At 40.4% G+C, this 21,225-nt stretch overlaps 3 pseudogenes across 1 annotated transcript in view; 1 reads left to right on the forward strand and 2 right to left on the reverse strand.

The window, feature by feature from the left end:
• The window catches only part of OFCC1 (orofacial cleft 1 candidate 1 (pseudogene)), a 506,631-nt pseudogene extending 496,169 nt beyond the window's left edge, over window positions 1–10,462 (reverse strand). Inside the window, exon 1 of the transcript NR_170155.1 lies at window positions 10,232–10,462. The product of NR_170155.1 is annotated as an orofacial cleft 1 candidate 1 (pseudogene) (transcript). The remainder of the gene's footprint in view (window positions 1–10,231) is intronic.
• Window positions 12,704–13,256, reverse strand: RPL21P62 (ribosomal protein L21 pseudogene 62; annotated as a pseudogene).
• RNU6ATAC21P (RNA, U6atac small nuclear 21, pseudogene) lies at window positions 20,890–21,015 on the forward strand (annotated as a pseudogene).

The raw sequence follows: 21,225 nt of genomic DNA on the forward strand, positions 1-21,225 counted from the left end.
TTGAGATGGAGTCTGGCTCTGTCACCCAGGCTGGAGTGCAGTGGTGCGATCTTGGCTCACTGCAAGCTCCGCCTCCTGGGTTCACGCCATTCTCCTGCCTCAGCCTCCCAAGTAGCTGGGACTACAGGCGTCTGCCACCATGCCCGGCTAATTTTTTTGTATTTTTAGTAGAGACAGGGTTTCACCGTGTTTGGCAGGATGGTCTCGAACTCCTGACCTTGTGATCCACCCACTTTGGCCTCCCAAAGTGCTGGGATTACAGTCATGAGCCACTGCACCCGGCCCAGGTCTCAGCATCTCTTTAACATGTATAGAGGACCCCAAGAGCTTTTGTTTATGGAAATTATACCTATTGATATTTATCATATTAGAAATTAAAAGAGAAATTTTAAAACTGTTTCATCCATTAAATAACCCAAAATGACTATAGCGAATACATTACGTATTAACACAAATGACATATATTTTATTTTTAAAAATAACTATTTTCCAAAACCAAAGAAAATTTGCAGTGTCATTGTTTTACATTGTTTGCAAATCTTATATGATATCTTTATAAAATACCTTGCTTAATAGAAGACAGCTGGATTTTCCTGTCTGCCTCTGCATTTAATCTGTTGCGATGTGTTGTTTTGGCTGAAATAGCTGAAGAAAACTTGGCTTCATACAAATACAGCTGAAAAAAGAAGGACCTTGCCGACGCTCTGAAAGGCACATTTTGAGAACCACTGGGGTGGTGATATAGCTATGCATATGACACAGCTGTCATTGTGTAATTCAAATCCAGCTTTTGTGTTCTTACTTCAGCAGAGCTTCACTGATGGGCTTTGAAGGAGGCAATCCTGCATTTGAAAGCTGCCTCCATCCCTCTGGCTACGTGTTTTTGGACAGGATACTTTATTCCATCTGTAACTGAAGTCGTTGGGAGGATCTAAGAATGCCTGACATTCTTAGGTGATACAGTAGGCACTTCATAAATGCGCATTTTCTTTCTTTTTCTCTCACCTTTCTGTATGGTAGACACACCTGACAGCGGTAAGTTAACTTAAGCATATCCTAATAATGACCCTGCATGGCCAATGCAGTTGAATGTGTGTTCAGAGTTCCAAGCTAAGGAATTCGGGAGTGGCCAACACAGTTTCATTCCTTATCTATGAGGAACATCTAAGCCCCAGGGCCATCCCATCCCATAAAACATGGGTGTACAGGGGATGGAAGCCCTTTGTTTTGGGTTAAATGAAGGTTGCCAGGTGGTTGTTAGAGGGAGGGTGCTGAGTGAAAAATGCTGCATAAACCACATGCTCTTTGCAACCAGTTATGGTGCTGCCTAGGCTGCTGCTACTGGACTGTAGGTAAGGTGGTTCTCCTGTACAGTCAACACCACTGGACTGTAGGTAAGGCGGTTCTCCTGTACAGTCAACACCACTGGACTGTAGGTAAGGCGGTTCTCCTGTGCAGTCACCACAACTGGACTGTAGGTAAGGTGGTTCTCCTTACAGTTACCACCAATGGACTGTAGGTAAAGTGGTTCTCCTGTACAGTCACCATCACTGGACTGTAGGTAAAGTGGTTCTCCTGTACAGTCACCATCACTGGACTGTAGGTAAGGTGGTTCTCCTATACAGTCACCACCACTAGACTGTAGACAAGGCAGTTCTCCTGTACAGTCACCACCACTAGACTGTAGACAAGGCAGTTCTCCTGTACAGTCACCACCACTGGACTGTAGGTAGGGCGGTTCTCCTGTCCAGTCACCACCACTGGACTGTAGGTAGGGCAGTTCTCCTGTATAGTCTGCCACCACTGGACTGTAGGTAAGGCGGTTCTGTCTAGCCCACCACCACTGGACTGTAGGTAAGGTGGTTCTCCTGTCTAGCCAGCTGCCACTGGACCACCTTGTTTGTAAGTTTCCTGCTAATCAAACTCCATGTCTCGTTTGTTGGCTTTGGGTCTCTTCTTTGGCCTCTTCAACCTGGTGCCATCACTATTGAAGCTAATAGGGGTCTGACAGGACACATTCTGGGATGATTAATTTCATGTGTTAGCGTAACTAGACCACGGGATGCCCAGAGTCTGGTTAAACATTATTCTGGATGTGTCTGTTTGGGTGTTTCTGGGAGAGGTTAGCACTTGAATTGGTGGACTGAGTAAAGTAGATTGTCCTTCCCATTGTGGGTGGATTTCATTCAACCCATCAGGGCCTGAACAGAACAAAGAGACAAACAAAGGAGGAATTCTCTCTCTCTGCTAGACTGCTTCAGCTAGGACATTGGTCTTTTGCTGCCCTTGGTCTGGGACTTACACCATCAGCACTCCTGGTTCTCAGGCCTTTGGACTTGGACTGGAATTATATTAATACCGCCAGGTTTTCTGCATCCCCAGATTGCAGACAGCAGATCGTGGGACTTCTCAGTCTCCATAATTGCATGAGCCAATTCCTTGTAAACCTCATGTGATGGATAGATAGATAGATAGATAGATAGATAGATAGATAGATAGATCTATAGAGCATATCCTATTTGTTCTGTTTCTCTGCAGAATCATGATAAATATACCTTTTCTTTGCCTTTTTTCCTCTGCTAATGTTCTGATCACTAACAAAACACAACTCTTGTCATGGGTATTTGTTTAATAGCAGGCATTTGTGGTTTACTGCCCACTATCCACACCTGTTCCTTCTGGTTACAGAGCCGAGTTTTCAGTTCAGAAGTTTGGATGGTGTTGTCCCAGTTCCAACCAATAGACCATGATAGTCTTACTTTAGTCCAGATTGGCCATCTGCCTGGCAAGATGATTTCTTCAAGGATAACATAAACCCAGCCAAAGAAAAGTTACCACTCTTCTTTTGGACTTGGTAGTGGGAGGACAAGAGGCAGAGGGGTGTAGGTTGCTTCAGCCTTCTTGGCCTATGAAAGGAGTCACTGAGTGAAGGCAGCTGGCACCTACAGAAAGCGCAGACAAGACAGAAATCTCGTGGATATTGTTAGAGGTTTAAAGCAGGCTCTACCCCAAATCAGAGCTTCCATAGGCTTCCAGTTATGTGAGCCAACACACTGTTTCTGCCAAGTCTAGTTTGACTTAGGTTTTCTATGACTTTCATCATGCAGAATCCTAACTGATATACCCTCCGGTATGATTGTTTCAGTGGCATCTCCTAAACCTGGTACCTCAGTGAATAAACTTGAGCTGGAGCTGCGAGCCATCCAGCCACTACCAACACCCACACATGGAAAAAACCATGAGATGAGGAAGAGAGAATCCCATCCTAATGACATTGTTTGAGCTGCTAAATCCATCTTAGTGCTGCCCTGCACTCTCCAATTACGTGTATGCATATGCTGATTTGGGTTCATTTTTCTGTCACCTATAACCAAAAGATTTCTAACCAAGATATTGGCAATGCCAGAGACTCTCACATGGTGGTGAATGACTTGCACAACTATTAAAGCCTCAAGAACTACGTAAAAATACCCCTGGACCATCGTGCTAAAATCTTAATACTTGACTTTAGCATGGGTGGTTTACCTAAGGAAATGTTGAGAAGAACAACTTTTGCTCAGCATGGCTTAATACCAAACCTACTGCCCTTACTTCCATATTTTCCTTGGTTGTTATCACACTACATCATGGGCCTGGAACCTGATAATCTTGCAGACTCTAATATATACATTGATCTACCTTTCCCCTTTTCCAATTTTCTAGCAAGTCCCCTAAGAGTTTCTTTTTCAAATGACTGGAATTTCCTGAGTGAAATTTGTTCCCTCAGCCTCACTGTAAGCAGGGATGCATTTAGAAAATTCTGATGCATGGAAGGTATTTTTGAAACTTGTAATCTACCAAGAGAAAATGTTCTACCACATTTCAGCTAAGCTACTCCCACAGGATCAGGATCAACTAAATGCAGAGAATTGCCCCTTTACATTTCCAACTTAAACTATTCTGCCTGGTCCTCAGCTTTAAGCATGTTTCCCAAAAATAAAGAAGAAAGAAGCTCCTTAGGAGCACCTCCCAGTTCTCCCCTGGTGTGGACAGCCTCCTGGCTTCAGCACAAACTAGCCTGTAGAAATGGAAGTGAAGTTAGCCCAAGTCATAGAACATTGGGCCACGGAGATAAATCAAGACTGAACTGGATGCTGTGTCTGAATTATTTGACTTGGCATCACACTCAGCAGATGATTGTCAGTTTCCCATTTCCTTTTGTGCTGTGCTTTCTCAGACTCCACACCAAAAGGAAGCTGATACTCTCTCTCCATCGCTGACACACCACCCTCCTGCCAACTGTGGGAGGATCCTGGCTTTGTACGGCCTGAGGTTTATACCATTTGGGGTCCCTCTTTCAGAATACAGAATTTAAAATAAAATATTGGAAGTGTCCCATATGAGAGAGAAGCCCTCATGCTTAAGTTTCATTAGCTCCATGGGAAATCCAGCACTGCCCCTATCCAAGAAGGGGTGGGAGCCTAAGGCATAGAGCACCTTGCCCCTGTAGCTACTTCACAAATGCCTTTGACTGCCAAGGAAAGGAGCTTTATCTTCATTGTTATACCTTTCTCTCTGCTCTATTTTGGTTTTTGCATAGAAGAAAGGGAGATTACTCTGCTTCTCTTGGAAACCAACCATTAGGAAATTCTCAAAACCTGCAGCAACACTCAAGAGAATTGTAGAATGTTCCATGTCAAAGAAACATTAACAACTAGATTATCAAAACTTCTTGCTTTCTAGATAAAGAAACAAAGCTAAAAATGTGCCAAAGGCTGTGCTTTAGCAGAATGTCTAGTCCAGAGGACTAGAATTTAGGTCTTTGCTCGAAAAGAAGCATGCAGGAGCCACAGCCACTCACACAGCCCCCGATCTGTGCTCTCTCTCAAAGCTCACCCTGTCTTTCAATGATTGCAATGAAACGGTAACTTTTACTTACACATTTTGAGGAAGTGGTCACCACAAATCTGCCCTTTGAGAGAGAAGAGTATTTTAAAGTGTCGTAACCAGTTTGAATATCAGCCTAGCCATTTGTTAGCTATGTAAGGTTGGGATCAGTTACTTAATCATGCTGATCCTTTTGTGTCTTCATTTGTGAAATAAAAATGGTGCACCTTCTTGGCAAGGCTTCTTGGTGTGTCAACTATTAGATGTCAACTAATAATAGATGTCAACTATCTCCTGCAGTGGCTGTCATTCCAAATGCAGACCATGCAAATGTATCTGCCTTGGGCTCCTCCCAAAGACCCCTGAATAAAAGTATAGAGGTACAGAAAGGAATCTGTCATAAAAGTGAAGAGAATAGGACAGTCACCAATACAGAGAGTTCAACCAATTTCAACACATTTCTGTAACACGGAACACGGATAGGGATGGGTAGACAGAAGAAAGAGGTTTAGGAAGCCACTACATTTAATGGAGGAGAAAAGGATTAGGATACAGTCTGCCCAGCAGAACCTCAAGCCCTAAAGAGGGCTCTAGGTCCAGAGTCAGCAGATTTTACCCAGGTGGGAGTGAGAGGTGGGGGCTTAATGGGATATCTCTAAATTGTGCACGTGCACCAGCCCAAATCCTCATCCTCACCCTCCTCTTCCCACCCTTGTTTTCAGAGAGAAAGTTTTCTTTGGAGTAAAATATCAACACTTCTGCAAAGCCAGTGAACAAATTATATGAGGAAAGCTAATGCTTTACTAGGGGGATTGACTCTGACATCCCTGATATGGTTTGGCTGTGTCCCCACCCAAATCTCATTTTGAACTGTAGCTCCCATAATCCCCACATGTCATGGGAGGGACCCGGTGGGAGGTAACTGACTCATGGGGGCAGGTTTCTCCTGTGCTGTTTGCGTGATATTGAATAAGTCTCACGAGATCTGATGGTTTTATAAAGGGCAGTTCTGTACACGCTTTCTTGCCTGCCGCCATGTAAGATGGGCCTTTGCTCCTTCTTCACCATCCACAATGATTGTGAGGCCTCCTCAGCCAATGTGGAACTGTGAGTCCATTAAACGTCTTTTCTTTATAGATTACCCAGTCTCAGGTATTTCTTCATAGTTGTATGAGAACAGACTAATACAATACCTGAATAAGACCTTCCCATAAAAGAAGTATGCCAGCTTCCCAATGAGAAGCCATTGCACATCCACACAATGGATGAAACCCAAACCAACCACCCAAAGCTTTTTTCTTAGGTGAAGACATATAACAAAGGACCACCAGGTCTAGAAAAGGAACACAGCAACAACAACAACAAAACATCAAGATAACTAAGCAAAATAACTAACCCAGAGGAAACAGAAAATTCCAAAAGCAGAAGAGACATTTTTAAAGAATCAATTTCTTATAAAGAGAGATCAAAGATACTATTACATCTAGAAAATGATGATAAGAAGCTATGAAAAAGGAACAATCAGAGAACAAGAAATAAATTTTGAGGAATTAAAAGTATAATTGCTTAGATTAAAAAGAAAAGTCAAGTTTCTAAAATAAAGTTGAGGAACTCTCCCAGAATATACACGATAAGATAAATAAGATAAGAGACTAGAAAAGTAATTCAGGAGATCTAACATTTAACTAACAGGAGTCTGAAAAAACTACCAGTGGAAAAAACAGAAACCAGTAATATTTTAATAGATCACCTCAGGGAAGAAGGAATAAAGAAACAGAGCAGGCTGGGCGCAGTGGCTCACGCCTGTAATCCCAACATTTTGGAAGGCCGAGGCAGGCAGATCACTTGAGGCTAGGAGTTTGAGATCAGCCTGGGCAACATAGTGAGATTCTGTCTCTACAAAAAATTTAAAAATTAGCTGGGCATGGTGAGGCACATCTGTGGTCCCAGATACTTGGGAGGCTGAAGCAGGAGGATCACTTAAGCCCAGGAGTTAAAGGCTGCACCTCCACTGCACTCCAGCCTGGATGACAGAGCAAGAACCTGTCTCAAAAAAAAAAAAGAAAGGAAGCAAAGGAGCAGAAGGCTGCTGAATTGAGATCTTAGGAATCTCAAGCTCTTAGATACCATTTACATTGTTACCACTGATACCACGATATTGTTACCATATACACGTATTATGGTTGAGCCTTGAACAATGGGGAGACAAGAGGGACAAATCCCCCAACAGAGTTGAAAATCCACACATAACGCCCCCAAAACCTAACAACTAATGACTACAGTTGACTAAAAGCTTTACCAATAACATAAACAGGTGATTAACGCATATTTTATATATTGTATGTATTATATGCTGTATTCTTACAGTAAAGTAAACTCAAGGACAAAAGGATAAGAAAATCATAAGAGAAAATGTATTTACTATTCATGAAGTGGAAGTGGAAGTTGATCACCATAAAGATCTCCATCCTCGTTATCTTCACGTTGAGTAGGCTGAGGAGGAGCAGGCAGAGGAGGGGTTGGTCTTGCTGTCTCAGGAGTAGCAGAGGTAGAAGAAAACCCACGCACCAGTGGACTCTCACAGTTCACACTAGTGTTGTTCAAGGGTTAACTGTACTTTGATACTGGTAAACAGCATATTCCCAATAACTGAAATGTATCATGTGTACATTTCCACTCTGGAAGGTGTCAGGACCAAGGGTATCTCTTGGAGAATTTAGAATTTTCATCTTTGTCAGCCTTCCAAGCCGCCCCCCCTAAATAAATATACATCCAAGTCAAGTCAACATGATTTCTACATGAAAGCTACTTCAAGACAAGTCCTCCAATTCTCACTCCCTTTTCTAATTAAGTTGCCATCCCACTCTCCTTCAACATAGAGACCCTGGAGTCATCTGTGCTCTGACCTCCCCAGCTGGCCTCAGCTCTCTTCCTCCAGTTGTTTAAGGGACACGTACTAACCTGACTCACTCCCCACTGAAACTCCACCATCTAAAACAGTTTATCCAACCTCTGTTCAATTTCCCTCCATTCATGTAAAGCCAGGGGACTAATCTTTCTTAATAAGGAGGTTCCCTCTACCAAGGGCTAAATTATAACAAGAGTTACCTCTGCTAAGGGGTCATTTTATGCTAGACACTTTCTAAATGTTTCCTCTAATCACCCACCATTCTGCAAACAGATATTATAATATTACCCTCAATTTTAAATGGATAAATCTGAGGTTTCAGGGGGTTAAATAATTTGCCCAAGGACAAAAAGTAAGTGGAGGAGCCAGAATTTTGGCCCACGGTTATCTGACTTCAAAGCCCACACTTTTACATTTCACCACAGCCCTGCCCTAATTATTTATATTTGCATTACATTTTATAAGCACATTTATATATTAACCCAGTTTTATTAATTGAACAACCCTATGATATAAGTTACCAGCCCCATTTTACAGGTGAGAATATTGAGGCCCAAATAAGTTAATGATTTGCTGTTGATCACATGATGCATTCGGTGCCCACTGATTCTTAAAACTACAAGCACCTGTTTTTATGCCACTTTTCAGCTCAGTTTTCGTCATTTGACATTGTACCCTTATGGTGCATCAAGTGTCACTACAACTGTGACTTTTTAGTTTCTGCTGCCAATTGTTTCATGGCCAAACCCTTCATTCTATCACTCTGCACAATCTTCAGTCTGGCCACAAGGCACATCCTCCATCCCTGCCGGGCAGGTCTCCTGGCCGTGCACCCACACTTGCTAAGCTCATCCCCATCTTTAAACCTATGCCTAGGCTCACCCCTTCCTGGGACACTCTGTGTCTTTTATCTGCCCAAATTGTCCCCGTTATTTTAATGCCCATGTCAGATTCCAGGTGAACGTCTATCTTGTCTATCCCTAATAGCCCATAGTATAGGTTTTCACTGCCCTGCATGTTGGGCATTTATAGTTTTCAATCGGACCCCCCTCTTATGTTTATTTATCCCCCGTGAAGGCTTTGTGCTTCAAACCTGCAGGAGCTCTGTGAAGTCAAGGATGAAAACATGTATTTCTTTGTATGTCCCCCATGCCCAGTACTTCGGGCCTACAAGATGCATAGCTTCTAGAAAATGCTCAGCAAACCCTTGAGGAACTAAACTTACAGCTTTTTTGAGTTGTTTGTCCCCAAATCAAGCATCTCTCTTCCCCTGTTATTCAACTTCTCTTGAAAGCTTGCCAGGTCCTCGTGACTTTCCTTTGAGTCATTTGCTTCTCTCCCCCACATTTTCCAGGGTTATTTTTTCCACTGACCTGGTGTTCTGATGTGCCCCATGCATATTCTTCATTTGTCTTTACTTTCTGCTCTTTCACAAAGCAAAATGTGAAATGATCCATGCTTTCATTGGCAAAGTTCAATCTTGGGTTTTCTTCCCCCTCCTAACTGAACCATTCATGTGGAGGAAGCTTTTGATCCAGGATTCAGATACCCAGTCACATTTTACATAACCAGAAACCATGCTAGGTGGTTATGTAAACTCTGTTTTTGACTTGAATAGCCAGACAACAGTCTTTACAATTTAGGTTAAAGCATGTTGTCAGCTTCCATTCATTTCTTATGGTCTGAGTGTCAACGTTATCCCACAATAGTGCTGTCAAAGAGATTCATGAGTGTGTCAGGAGGAATATTTGAAGACAAAAAAAATATATTTTTTAGACCATTTTTGTGGAATGTGTTGTCATTATCATAGAAAATGCCTAAGAAGAGATCAAGTTTGCTCGTACAGTTTAGTGAACAATAGCTAGAAAAGAGGTAATGGCCGGGTGCGGTGGCTCACGCCTGTAATCCCAGCACTTTGGGAGGCCAAGGCAGGTGGATCACGAGGTCAGGAGATTGAGACCATCCTGGCTAACATGGTGAAACCCCATCTCTACTAAAAAATACAAAAAATTAGCCGGGCGTGGTGGTGGGTGCCTGTAGTCCTAGCTACTTGGGAAGCTGAGGCAGGAGAATGGCAAGAACCCAGGATGCGGAGCTTGCAGTGAGTTGAGATTATGCCACTGCACTCCAGCCTGGGCGACAGAGCAAGACTCCGTCTCAAAAAAAAAAACAAAGGTAACATAGATGAGGTAGCCCACTACGAGGCAAGGCAGAGGGTCAACATTCAAGGAAAGTACCTTCATTTATAATAAAATGTCCAGGCAAGTGGCCACTTCTTTAGATACTGATTAACTAAGTGACTTTTTGTTGTTATAAATAACCTTTTATTTTGGCAGGGACTGCTTTCTAACATACATTCACTATCACTTAGCTTTGAGAATTCAGGATATTTCTGGAAGGACATGACAATGAGAGGAAGAAGCATGGAGAAACTGAGGAATCAAAACACAAACTGACCTGTCATGAAATCTCGGGGCGGGGGGCGGGGAGCCACTTCAAGTTTTGAACCAAATGTCCCGTCTTTAGTTCCTGGCTTCTTCAAGTTGCTTTGTCCTGAGGTCTTTGCCCTTTAAAGTTACACCTTTGGCGTCTCCAAAGTACTTGATGTACATGGAGACTTACTTAAGCTCTTGTCAACATCGGCTCATCCATTTTCTTCCTAGGATCATGTAAACATCACATGCCACAGTTTTGTGCTGTGGGACTTGACCATTTGATCAAACCACTGTAAAGGAGGTATGCCATGTGGTTTCTAGCCTAATCTGACAAGGTAGAGGTCAATGTGGCCTCAGTCATAGTTTGCCTACCCTGGGGACAACATGAACCTAGTGATTAGTGAGAGGAACCTATGTTTTTGTACTTTGAAGGGGATGAGGGTGTAAGCTACCACCTTGAAGATTCTGCCTGATGACGCAGAATTTTTAGAAATCTTTCAGACTGATTAATGAACCAAGCTCACTCATGCTTCCTGGTCAGTCACCTTAGTGAGCAAAAGTTCTCTTCCAAAATTAAAAAATGTCATTCCCGATAGCGATCGCCGAAAAGCTTTTAAGAGCTAATACAATAATATAGAATTATGTCAAAAATCTTCTCATCTGAAGTTGTTAAATTTTAAAATCAATCCCAACATTTGCCAAGCAAAAGTGGGATAGATTTGACAATAAGATATTTAAATTACTTTATATCAAACCAAAAAACAGTAATAATTCCACAAATGAGAAAAATCTTCACAGCTGCTGTGTCAGAAAGTTGCTTAATATTTCTACCATATGAGGAGTTTATACATGTCAATAAGAAAAACACTACGATACCAATAATTAAGTTAAGGATAGGAATGATTTTACAAAAAACAAAGTTTAGCAACAGTAAGCATAACAATTATTAATCTCAAAAATTATCAAAGAAATTTAAATTAAAAATATTAGCCATTTTCCCTCATCACATACCTATTTTTTAAATAATAACTTAGTAAGGGTTTTCTAAAACAGGTGATGTCACATATTTTTGGCATGAAAATGTCTTATAGCAGCTTTGGAAAGAACTTCAGCAAAAATTATCAAGGATCTAGGAATTTTATTTCTGAGAATTTATCCCAAGGAAAAAACTTAAAATTGGGAAGGTGGACTTCTATGCATACATGTTTACTAAAGTGTTCTTTGAGGAAGAGACAGATTGCATAATTTAAATTTTTTTGTGTGATTACTAAAAAATTAAGAATAGTTAACACTTTTGACACTTACACTGTCCCTGAAACTGTCCTAAAAGTTTATGTGATTGAATCGTTTACTGTCATAAAACCCCTATTGAGTGGATGTACTATTGTTATCCAGTTTTACAGATGAGGAAACCAAGGCACAGAGAGGCTCAATAACTTGCCCCAGGTTAAATAGTAAGTGATAGGGCCAGAACTGGCATCAGGAGCTAATTCTCAATTACTCACTTATATTCCCTCTCTCATTGTATAATATTTTCATTGTAGAGAACTTACAAAAGACAGGTAAACATAACAACAAAATTTAAATTCATTTGTAATAACCAGAGATAACTAGTAGTTAGTTCCTTTCAGTTATTTTGATAAGCATTTGTAAAATCCTATTACACAATTCCATCTCATGCTGCATTTATTCAACAAAATATTTCGAGAATTTTCCGTTCTCTTCTACAATTACTTGTGTTCCACCTGATATACATGTAATAGAGGTATATGGCCAGTTGATTTGCCTCTACTTTTAATTACTATATTCAATGCATTAAACAGCTTTTACATAAATCTTTGTCTGAACTTTTGATTTCTGAAAACAGAACTTTGCTTTTGAGGACAAATGCCTTTCTTAAAAACTATACAATTTTTAAGGATACTTGACATATTTTTTGACATTACTTTGCTTTTATTCTTTTTTATCTTTTTTTTTGTTTTTGTTTTTGTTTTATTTATTTCAATAGGTTATGGGGAACAGGCAGTGTTTGGTTACATGAATAAGTTCTTCAGCGGTGATTTCTGAGATATTGGTGCACCATTACCCAAGCTGTGTACACTGTACCCAGTGTGTAGTCTTTTATCCCTCACTGCCCTCCCACCCTTCCCCCGGAATCCCCAAAGTCTATTTTATCAGTCTTATGCCTTTGCATCCTCATAGCTCAGCTCCCACATACGATGTTTGATTTTCCATTCCTGAGTTACTTCACTTAGAATAATGGTCTCTACTTCCATCCAGGTTGCTGCAAATGCCATTTTTTTGTTCCTTTTTATGGCTGAGTAGTATTCCAAGGTACATGTATACCACATTTTCTTTATCCACTCATTGACTGATGGGCATTTGGACTGGTTCCATATTTTTGCAGTTGTGAATTGTGCTGCTATAAACGTGTGTGCAAGAGCATACTTGACATATTTTCTATTTTTCTTTTTCTTTTTTTTTTTTTTTTTACAGTCCAGAGGTCTTTTATTTTTTTAACACCTATGATGCCATGAATTCGTAGGGAAGAGGTTCCAGCAGCTCAGGCTCCTTCCCACGGGCTCTCATAAAGTGTGCTTCTCTGGGTGGAGCAGACTGGTGCTTCAGTTGAACCCAGGCACCTTTCTCTTTGGCTTCTTTCTTTTTCTGATCATTTTCCTTCACGCGTTTCAGGAAGCTAGCTCGGCTCTTAGAGTGTTTAATGTGCTCAATACACACATTAATTCTCTTGGCAAGAATCTTGCCCTTAACTTGTTTGTTTACAACAATGCCAACGGCATGCTGGGGAACACTGCAGACTCTTCCCATTTAGCCATGGTAACACTTGGGGCATTCTTTTTTGAACAATACCCATTCCCTTGATGCCTACAATGTCACCTTTCTTATAGATTCGCATGTATGTGGCCAAAGGAACAACTCCATGTTTTCTAAAAGGCCTAGAGAACATACATTGGGTGCCTCTTCTCTTTCCCTTTGTGTTCGTCATCTTGGCAAATTACTGGAAGATGGCGGTTCCCGCCGAAAGGTGATACATTTTCAAAGTGTTGTTCAGAAAATGTTTTATCAATTTATTTTCTTGTTAAGGGTATCTGACAACCTCTACCCTACCAATATCATTATTGAAAACATTTGCTAATTTAATAGTTTAAAAAAAGTCTCTTGTTGCCATCTTATTTGTCACTTTTTGTTCATTAATAGATATAAACATGTATCATATATCTAGTGGCCACTCAATATGTATTTTTTGTATAATTGCTCATTCATGTCCTTTTCTCAAAATTGGTGTTTCACGTATTGATTATGTAAGCTGTCTGTATATTAAGGCTATTATTCCATTTACACTTTTTATTACCTATATTTTTAAATGTTTTGTTTACTGTATTATTTATAAACATAAAAATCTGGAAACATGCTAACTCCAAAAGGGAAACAGTAAGTGTGCTACATTCATTTCGTGGGATATTATTTATTGAAGAAAATGTTTCTGAAAAGTTATCAATATATGGGGGAATGTTTATTTCGTGGTATTACAAGAAAATATAGGAAAAAGTTGGATGTTCAGTATGATAAAAACAAACAATATTCATATTAAAAGACTGGAAGAAAAACTATTAACAGTGATGATTTTTAGTATTGGGTCTTTCATTGATTTTTTTTTTCTTTCTTTTCTTCCTTTTGTTTTTTTTTTTTTGTAGAACAGTAGTATTTTCCACCAGAAAAGAAGAAATAAACTTGAAGAAGAGAGAGAAAAAGGAGAAAAAGGCATTGTAAAAGAACCAAAAAAAAGGGGAGGGGACTAGTACAAAGCTGATCTTCTATACAGCGTTTCACTTTGCTGAACTGCATGAGAGATTCCCTAATAAACTTCTTCTCACACTTGAATATCTTGTTCCAAAAAGTAGGAGATGTACCAGACAATCTGCCTTCCCTCAGCTTTCCTGCTTCTCACCAGGGGTGGCCTGGACCAGGTATTTCCACAAACCAGAGGGGCCCATGGAACCCCAGAACACAAGACAGATGGGCTTGAGTTCCAGGACCTGAGGACTCTCCATTAATTCCTCACTGAGGGCAGTTGGACTTGCTGCTGAAGGGCAGCCGGGGGCCCTATCCCACAGGCCTGGAAGGGTGGGACAGCAGCTGGTACACACAGACCCCATTCTGCCAGCTGTTAGCCACACAGCTGCAAAAAGAAGAGAAAGATCCAGGCAGCTACTTAGCTGACTGCACAAGGAGGGCCACTTACATCCTTTCACTGGATATAAGTTAGTTTTCCGACTGTCTTTTCCCCAGATGGGGTTTTACCTTCTCAGGGTATGAGTGCCCTTGGGATAGGAGAACCACTGACCTTATGGCATGACCAGAAGCATCCTTTTGTGAATTGATTGCTGAACTCAAAGCATTTCTCCAAAAATCATGATGTTCCTCAAAAGGAAGAAAGGGAGTTAAGAAAAAGAATTTTAATCTGCACATGACTGGGCATGGCACTGGTTCTTAACCCTGGCTGCACAGTGGAATCACATGAGGAACTTTACAAATGACTAATGCATCAGGGATTTAAAAAAAGCACCACAGGTGATTCTAATGTGCAGGCGGTTGGGAATCTCTAGGCAAAAGCGATGAGTTAAAGCGATTGAGAAGATCGTTAAATCCAAATGAAGCGTTTGAGAAACAGATTCAGTACCTCTGGTGGAGCTGGAATATTTGTAATTGTGTAATTCAGTTCAAGGGTTTAGTACTTTTTCCATCACTTCGTGTTTTCATCTTACATCATCTTCATCTTGCATCTCTATGAATAACCCTCTTCCCCATTGTCAAAGGCAGCAAAGAAAGGGTTACAGTATCTTGCCCAATGTCCCCTCACTAATACAGAATGAGGCACAGAGAGCTTGAATAATATAATGGAAGCCTAAGGCCAAAAGCCACAGCCCTAACATCCTTGCTATTAATAGAATATTGTTTACTTTGGAGTGGAAGAGCTTTTTAATGGAATTGGTATATGTGCAGAATAGTGTTAAATCAGTGGAAGATTGAGAAAATATTAGGGGAAAATTTGTTGCTACTCTCATTATTAATTTGTAATGGGTCTTTAATATGGCAACAAATGAAAACATCTTTGACTACTTGTTAAGCCAATAGAAATAACAAGAGAAATTCAGTGTACTAAACAGTATTTTAAAGACAATTACTAGATAAGGATTTACTAGTGAAAATTCTATCAGAAACAAACCCAAACAAAAACTCTATCATTAACAACGCATATGGCCTGATGTGAAAAGCGTTATGAGACCAAAAAGAAAGTTCTAATGCTGTAAATATATTAGAAGTTTATCAGCTAATGAATAGAATACAATTGATTCAGTGACTTAAAGTTTAACTAGTAGTTTATTTTATTTATGATTTTATAAAGTGAAAAGGGAAAGCAATCAATAAACCTACATGAGAAGAAACAAGAATGGAAAACTTGGTGGTTTAGATGCCTATTTACATGGGAAAACGTTTCAGATCCCCTGGGATGATAAAATGTCTGTTGAAAGAAACATAAAAGGAAGATGATAGGAAATTTAATAAACCCAAATTACAGAATGTGTTTCTTTCCATACTACAATTTGGCTGTGGTTACATATGATAAATAGAGATAAAGAAATACAATAGGAAAAGAAGAACAAGTACAGTCTTCTTGATGACAAGTATCTTGTAAACAGGCAGTAACATTTATTTTTAAATGGTTGTCCTCTTTTGCATGCATTCGTACTTTTTTAACATAAAAACCAGACATGTAAAGCTAAGAAAATAAGCAGCTACAATTAGAGTGGGAACTGGAATTGGGAGTGGGTGACCAGGGAAAGACGATGGAGTGGGCTTGTTCTCTTTTCTGTTCGCAAACCTGTAGTTAAGCAACAGGTTAAGAGAAGAAAACTCTTGTTCTGCAGCCAGAGACAAGTTCAGCAAGTTTCTGGACCAAAGAGTGAACTCACGGAAATGCCAATCCATCCACAGTCGACTATTAGTAAAGTAGAGTAGATGACAGATCTGGAAGAACCCACTGAAAGCCTGGTTGAAATCTCTAATTGCAAAAGAACATCAACAGAAAAATACAGCTGGAGGGAAATGAGCCTTGGTTTTCCTCCCAAACAGGCCCAGGAACAGACCTCAGAAATAATCCTGATCTAAATGTGCAGACTGGCCGGTGGAGTCTTCCTCCCTGGCCACATTTGCCTGAAAATGGAGCCTTCCCACAGCTGTTTGGAGCAGCTTGTGGCACACTGTTGTGTCTGTTCATTCAATATAATTAAGAACTGCTTGCTCTAGGGGAAATGAAGGATTTGATTAAGGGGGAGTGTTTCTTCTCCCTTTCTTCTTTCTTGCTTTTGTTCAGTCTTACCCAAATTTTTTTTACCATTTTTTAAGTCATGTCACTTTCTGGGGCAATTTCCACTTTTTGTTATGGACAACCAAGTGCTAAAGGCACATAGTAATGGGGTGTGTGTGTGTGTGTGTGTGTGTGTGCATGTGTGTGCTTTAAGATGGAATAAGGGAGGCTTGGAAAGAGGAACGCATCCCAAACTGGTTTTTAGACCCCAAAAAGCAAAAAATTCATAAAACCAAAACTGACTGAAGCAGATTATGAAGAACCCTGAGCAAATGCCAAGCGGCGTGTTCCCCAGGCTTGGAATGGCATTTGCACTCGGCGGCAATAATTTCTTTGTTAACAAGTAAATCCTCCCAGTTCTTTCTGTGGCTTCTGAAGTGTCACTATTATATACCACTGTGGAACAACCACAGAGGGTGGGCTGGGGAGGGAGGGGACCTGACACCGGTTATCAATCTTTCACAAACCACAAGTTCTAAAACAGCACAGGATTTATGAGCAAACAAGTCCAAAGAGCCCCATCCAGGGACTGAAAAAATCATGGAGTTGGGATGACTGTGAACATGTCAGAACCAAAGAGGGAGGAGAGAAAGATGGCACAACAAAATGGGCCCTCCTTGCAGATGGATGATTCTAATTGCCATCAAACCTGATTTCAAGAGCATTTTACAGCTCTTCTTTCCCCATTTGAAAAAGTTAAATAAGTAGAACATGTCAATAAATGTGATCAATATCCAGAAAACCTTATAGTTAGCTAATATCCCAATGAGGACGTTTGTATTGATTCAGTTCTTGATGAGGTCCAGTTGTATATCTGAGGGATCTGCTCTATGAAATGTGTAGGGCCTTGAACACAGTGGGTGTTCAGTAAATGTGAGTGCATTGGATTAGTGGCATTCTAGATAACTGAGGTTAAACAAAAACTGTCCCTTTTTTTCTCCTCTATTGTCCCATCAACTATCAAATGCCCTTGGTACATCCCCCAGAAATATTTTAAGATCAATTTATCTTTCCCATTCCCAAAACTGCACCCTTTCCTAAAATTTATCATCCAATGCCTCAAATATCACAATACCTGCCAAGCCAGTCTCCTAGCTTCTGGTTTATCAGATTACTCTTACTAAGCATTCACCAGCTCAAAAGCTTCGAATCACTTTCTAATGCCTTTGGGATAAAGTTCAAATCCTTCTGCTGACATTCAGGGCTCATCACAATTCAGTTTCATCATGCCTCTCCAAATTTTCAACAAATCTCAAAAGAAAAATGATGCTGGCATCAAGTCAATGTCCTCTCTGGTCTTGGTTAACAAACTGCATTTCTGCTGCCATAACTTTGCTTTTCCTGTTCACCCAGCTCACCTTACCTAGAATGGTTTTCGCACTCCCTCCTTCTCCTCTTTCCTCTCTCCATCTTTTCCATGGAACCTCACCCCTCTCTTTGTCCTGAGGGAGACTCTCAGAACTCCAATGTTGGGATACTGTCTGTTTCACTATCGCCAGCCATTGCAGGCCATTAGTAGGACTTTCTCTCTCTCAAGCATTGTCCTGACTTCTTGATCCACTCTCCATTCATTCTTTCATTCATCCGTGCCTTCATTCAACAATCGTTTATTGACTATTTTGGGCCTATTTTGGGCCAGGCACCATGCAAGGACCCATGTATAGAAAGATAAATGTGAAAGAGTCTATTGTCAAGGCAATCCCAATCAAAGAGAAGGAAATTACAATGCACTGTGCTCAGTTCAATAAAATATATTTACATTATGCATATGATCTCTCTGGTTGTCAGAATCTTAAATTCCTTGAGGCCAGAAACTATACCATGGACTTCTTTTGTGGTCCCTAGTAAGCTTATTGAGCATGTAACTTGGTTTTTGAAACATGCTTACACAACGTTAGTGAATGTTGCAATAATAGATTAGAACTCAAAAATTTTCTTGGTATTTCTTCATTTTGCCAGGAAAAATATTCAGGTCTAAAATGTGAGTTATAGAGAATATTTCTGAAGGGATAAAGTCACTAGTGACCCCAAGAAAGAATGAGTTGCCTAACAGATGGGGCAAGAAAAAATACTTTTCTATGTACGTGTTTTTATACTTTTGAATCTGATACCATGTGAATGAATAACTAATTGAAAAATAATACATTTGTTGATACAGTTTTAAGGAATCAATAGAGATAAAACTATAGATGCCACATTTTTATTTTTCTCTTGTCCTGTTGAGCAGTGATCCCCAACCTTTTTGGCACCAGGGACTGGTCTCATGGAAGACAATTTTTCCACAAATGGGGTTGTCGGGGAATGGTTTTGGGATGGTTCAAGTGCATTACATTTAGTGTGCACTGTATTTATTGTGCACTTTATTTATACATTTATTGTATACTTTATTTACAGTGTAATATATAATGAAATAATTTTATAATTATACAACTCATCATAATGTAGAATCAGTGGGAGCCCTGCGCTTGTTTTCCTACAACTAGATGGTTCCATCTGGGGGTGACGGGAGACAGTGACACATCATCGAGCGTTAGATTCTTATAAGGAGCACGCACCCTAGATCCCTCACATGCGCAGTTCACAATAGGGTTCATGATCCTATGAGAATCTAATGTTGCTCCTGATCTGACAGGAGGCAGAGCTCAGGCGGTAATGCGAGCAATGGGAAGTGGCTGTAAGCACAGATGAAGCTCCACTCACTTGCCCGCCTCCTGCTGTGTGGCCCGGTTCCTAACAGGCCATGGACTGGTACTGGTCTCTGGCCCAGGGGTTGGGGAACCCTACTCTTTAGGATGCTTGATAAAATGACAACTTAGAAAATCTTTACCATAAACACAGATGATACGAATGATAGGAAGAATACAGGTGAATGGATAATACACAGTGCTATTCCAAAATAATTCTTGACTCTCTCCCCTTTCTAATGGATTTGCTTCTCTTTCCTCCTGCATTTGCTTCTAACCTAGAATTAAGTTTGAGTTCAAAAACAAACAAACAAAAAAATCTGGCTTGGCATTCAGTAGGCTCTGGTTCTACTGGCCCTGGTGCTTTCTTGCCCACTAAGAAAATAACCAATAGCAGAGTCCGTGGGGTGTCCTGAAAGGCCGCGTGCCCTGGCCATGCCTGGAACAGAGCTAAGCATAGTCAGCCTGCACAGTCAGCAGAGCCCTTCTCAATGCCATTTCCCTCCTATATACCCCTCTGGATCTGTTCACCTGTTTACCCGAAGAAGGGGCTGTTTTAGGGTGCTGGCCGTGGTATTAAGAGGGTCAGCTGACAAGCACATGGGTAAATGACATGAGAGGGATAACGCCCTTTTCTATCTATCTACCCCACAGCTGGTAATCTTGCTTTGTCAAGAAACAAAAGGATTTTAAAATAGGTGTTCTCTGTGTAACAAATATAGAATGGAAAGTTTTTACAAGGTACCCCTTTTAACAAAGCACCATGCATTTGAATTATATTGAGCTCAGCATCACACTCCCGGAGTTGTTCATGAAAATTAAGAACTATCCAAACTATTGAACCTCTATTAGCTGTCTGTTTCCCCCCACAACCTCCACTCCTTGTGCAAATCATATTCAACCCATTCGTGATAATGTTCTCACTGGCACGCCTGGAAACTATTAAAAACAGATGTCCAGACCACACTGCAGACATCTGGGATGGAGCAACTCTGGTGGGGTCATAAACATGTCTCTGTGCGTGGAGGATAAGCCCCCTTCAGGTGTCTGTTTAGGGTCTTCTTATAATACCAAATATGTAACTTCCAAACGAGAAACTAGAGGCAGCTTGCATTTGCATTTACTTTGGCATTTTTTTTCTTATTTTTAAGTTTGCTTTCACGGATTCTGAAACGTAAACTCTTATCTTGAGCTGCTGAGGCCTTCATAAAGATTACAGTGAGACCACACATTTATACATTGAAACTGGAGATTCGACTTGTGTATGTTACCCACCCTGGAAACACCAGATCCTACTTTGTTTCATCTAATAAATGCTCTATTATTAGAGAAAGAAAGAGGGGAAGAAAGGGATAACTATATTTAAACCAAGTTTTATTTGCTTTCACTGTTACTATCAATTGTTCCTCCAGTATTTGCACAGTTTCTGAAAGTATTTAAACCAAAGCAATGCTTGTCCCAACTTTTTTTTTATAATGAGGAAAATATGTCTGGTCTTATTCATACTATCAGAATACAAGAGTAGGCTTTGGGCATGAACAAACGGTAGTGATTGGAGAATCCCAAAGACTGATTTCTCTAAAGAAAAATTTAAAATTGACTTCGGTATTGTATGAAAGGAGAGAAGGTTGGCATTCCCTTTGACAAGGATGGAAGAGGCCCTCAGGCCTGACAACAAGCATTTAGTTAAGGCATTGCCACCTACTTCATGGCATCTAACCATTATTTAAATAAAAAATAAAATAAAATAAAGTTAAATATGGCACCTTTTACTGCTAAATCACTGACTTTTGAGAATAGTTTCTATGTTGATGGTTGTTTCTCATACGATAGTGTTGGGAAAGGATTCAAATCCATCCCATTGAAGGAGAAATGCGTTTGACTTAACAAGTGTTAAAATCTCCGGAGCAAGAACATACATGAAAGATAGAATGAACAGCT

The sequence above is a fragment of the Homo sapiens genome, chromosome 6 (assembly GCF_000001405.40).
Source record: "Homo sapiens chromosome 6, GRCh38.p14 Primary Assembly".
Lineage (NCBI taxonomy): Eukaryota > Metazoa > Chordata > Mammalia > Primates > Hominidae > Homo > Homo sapiens.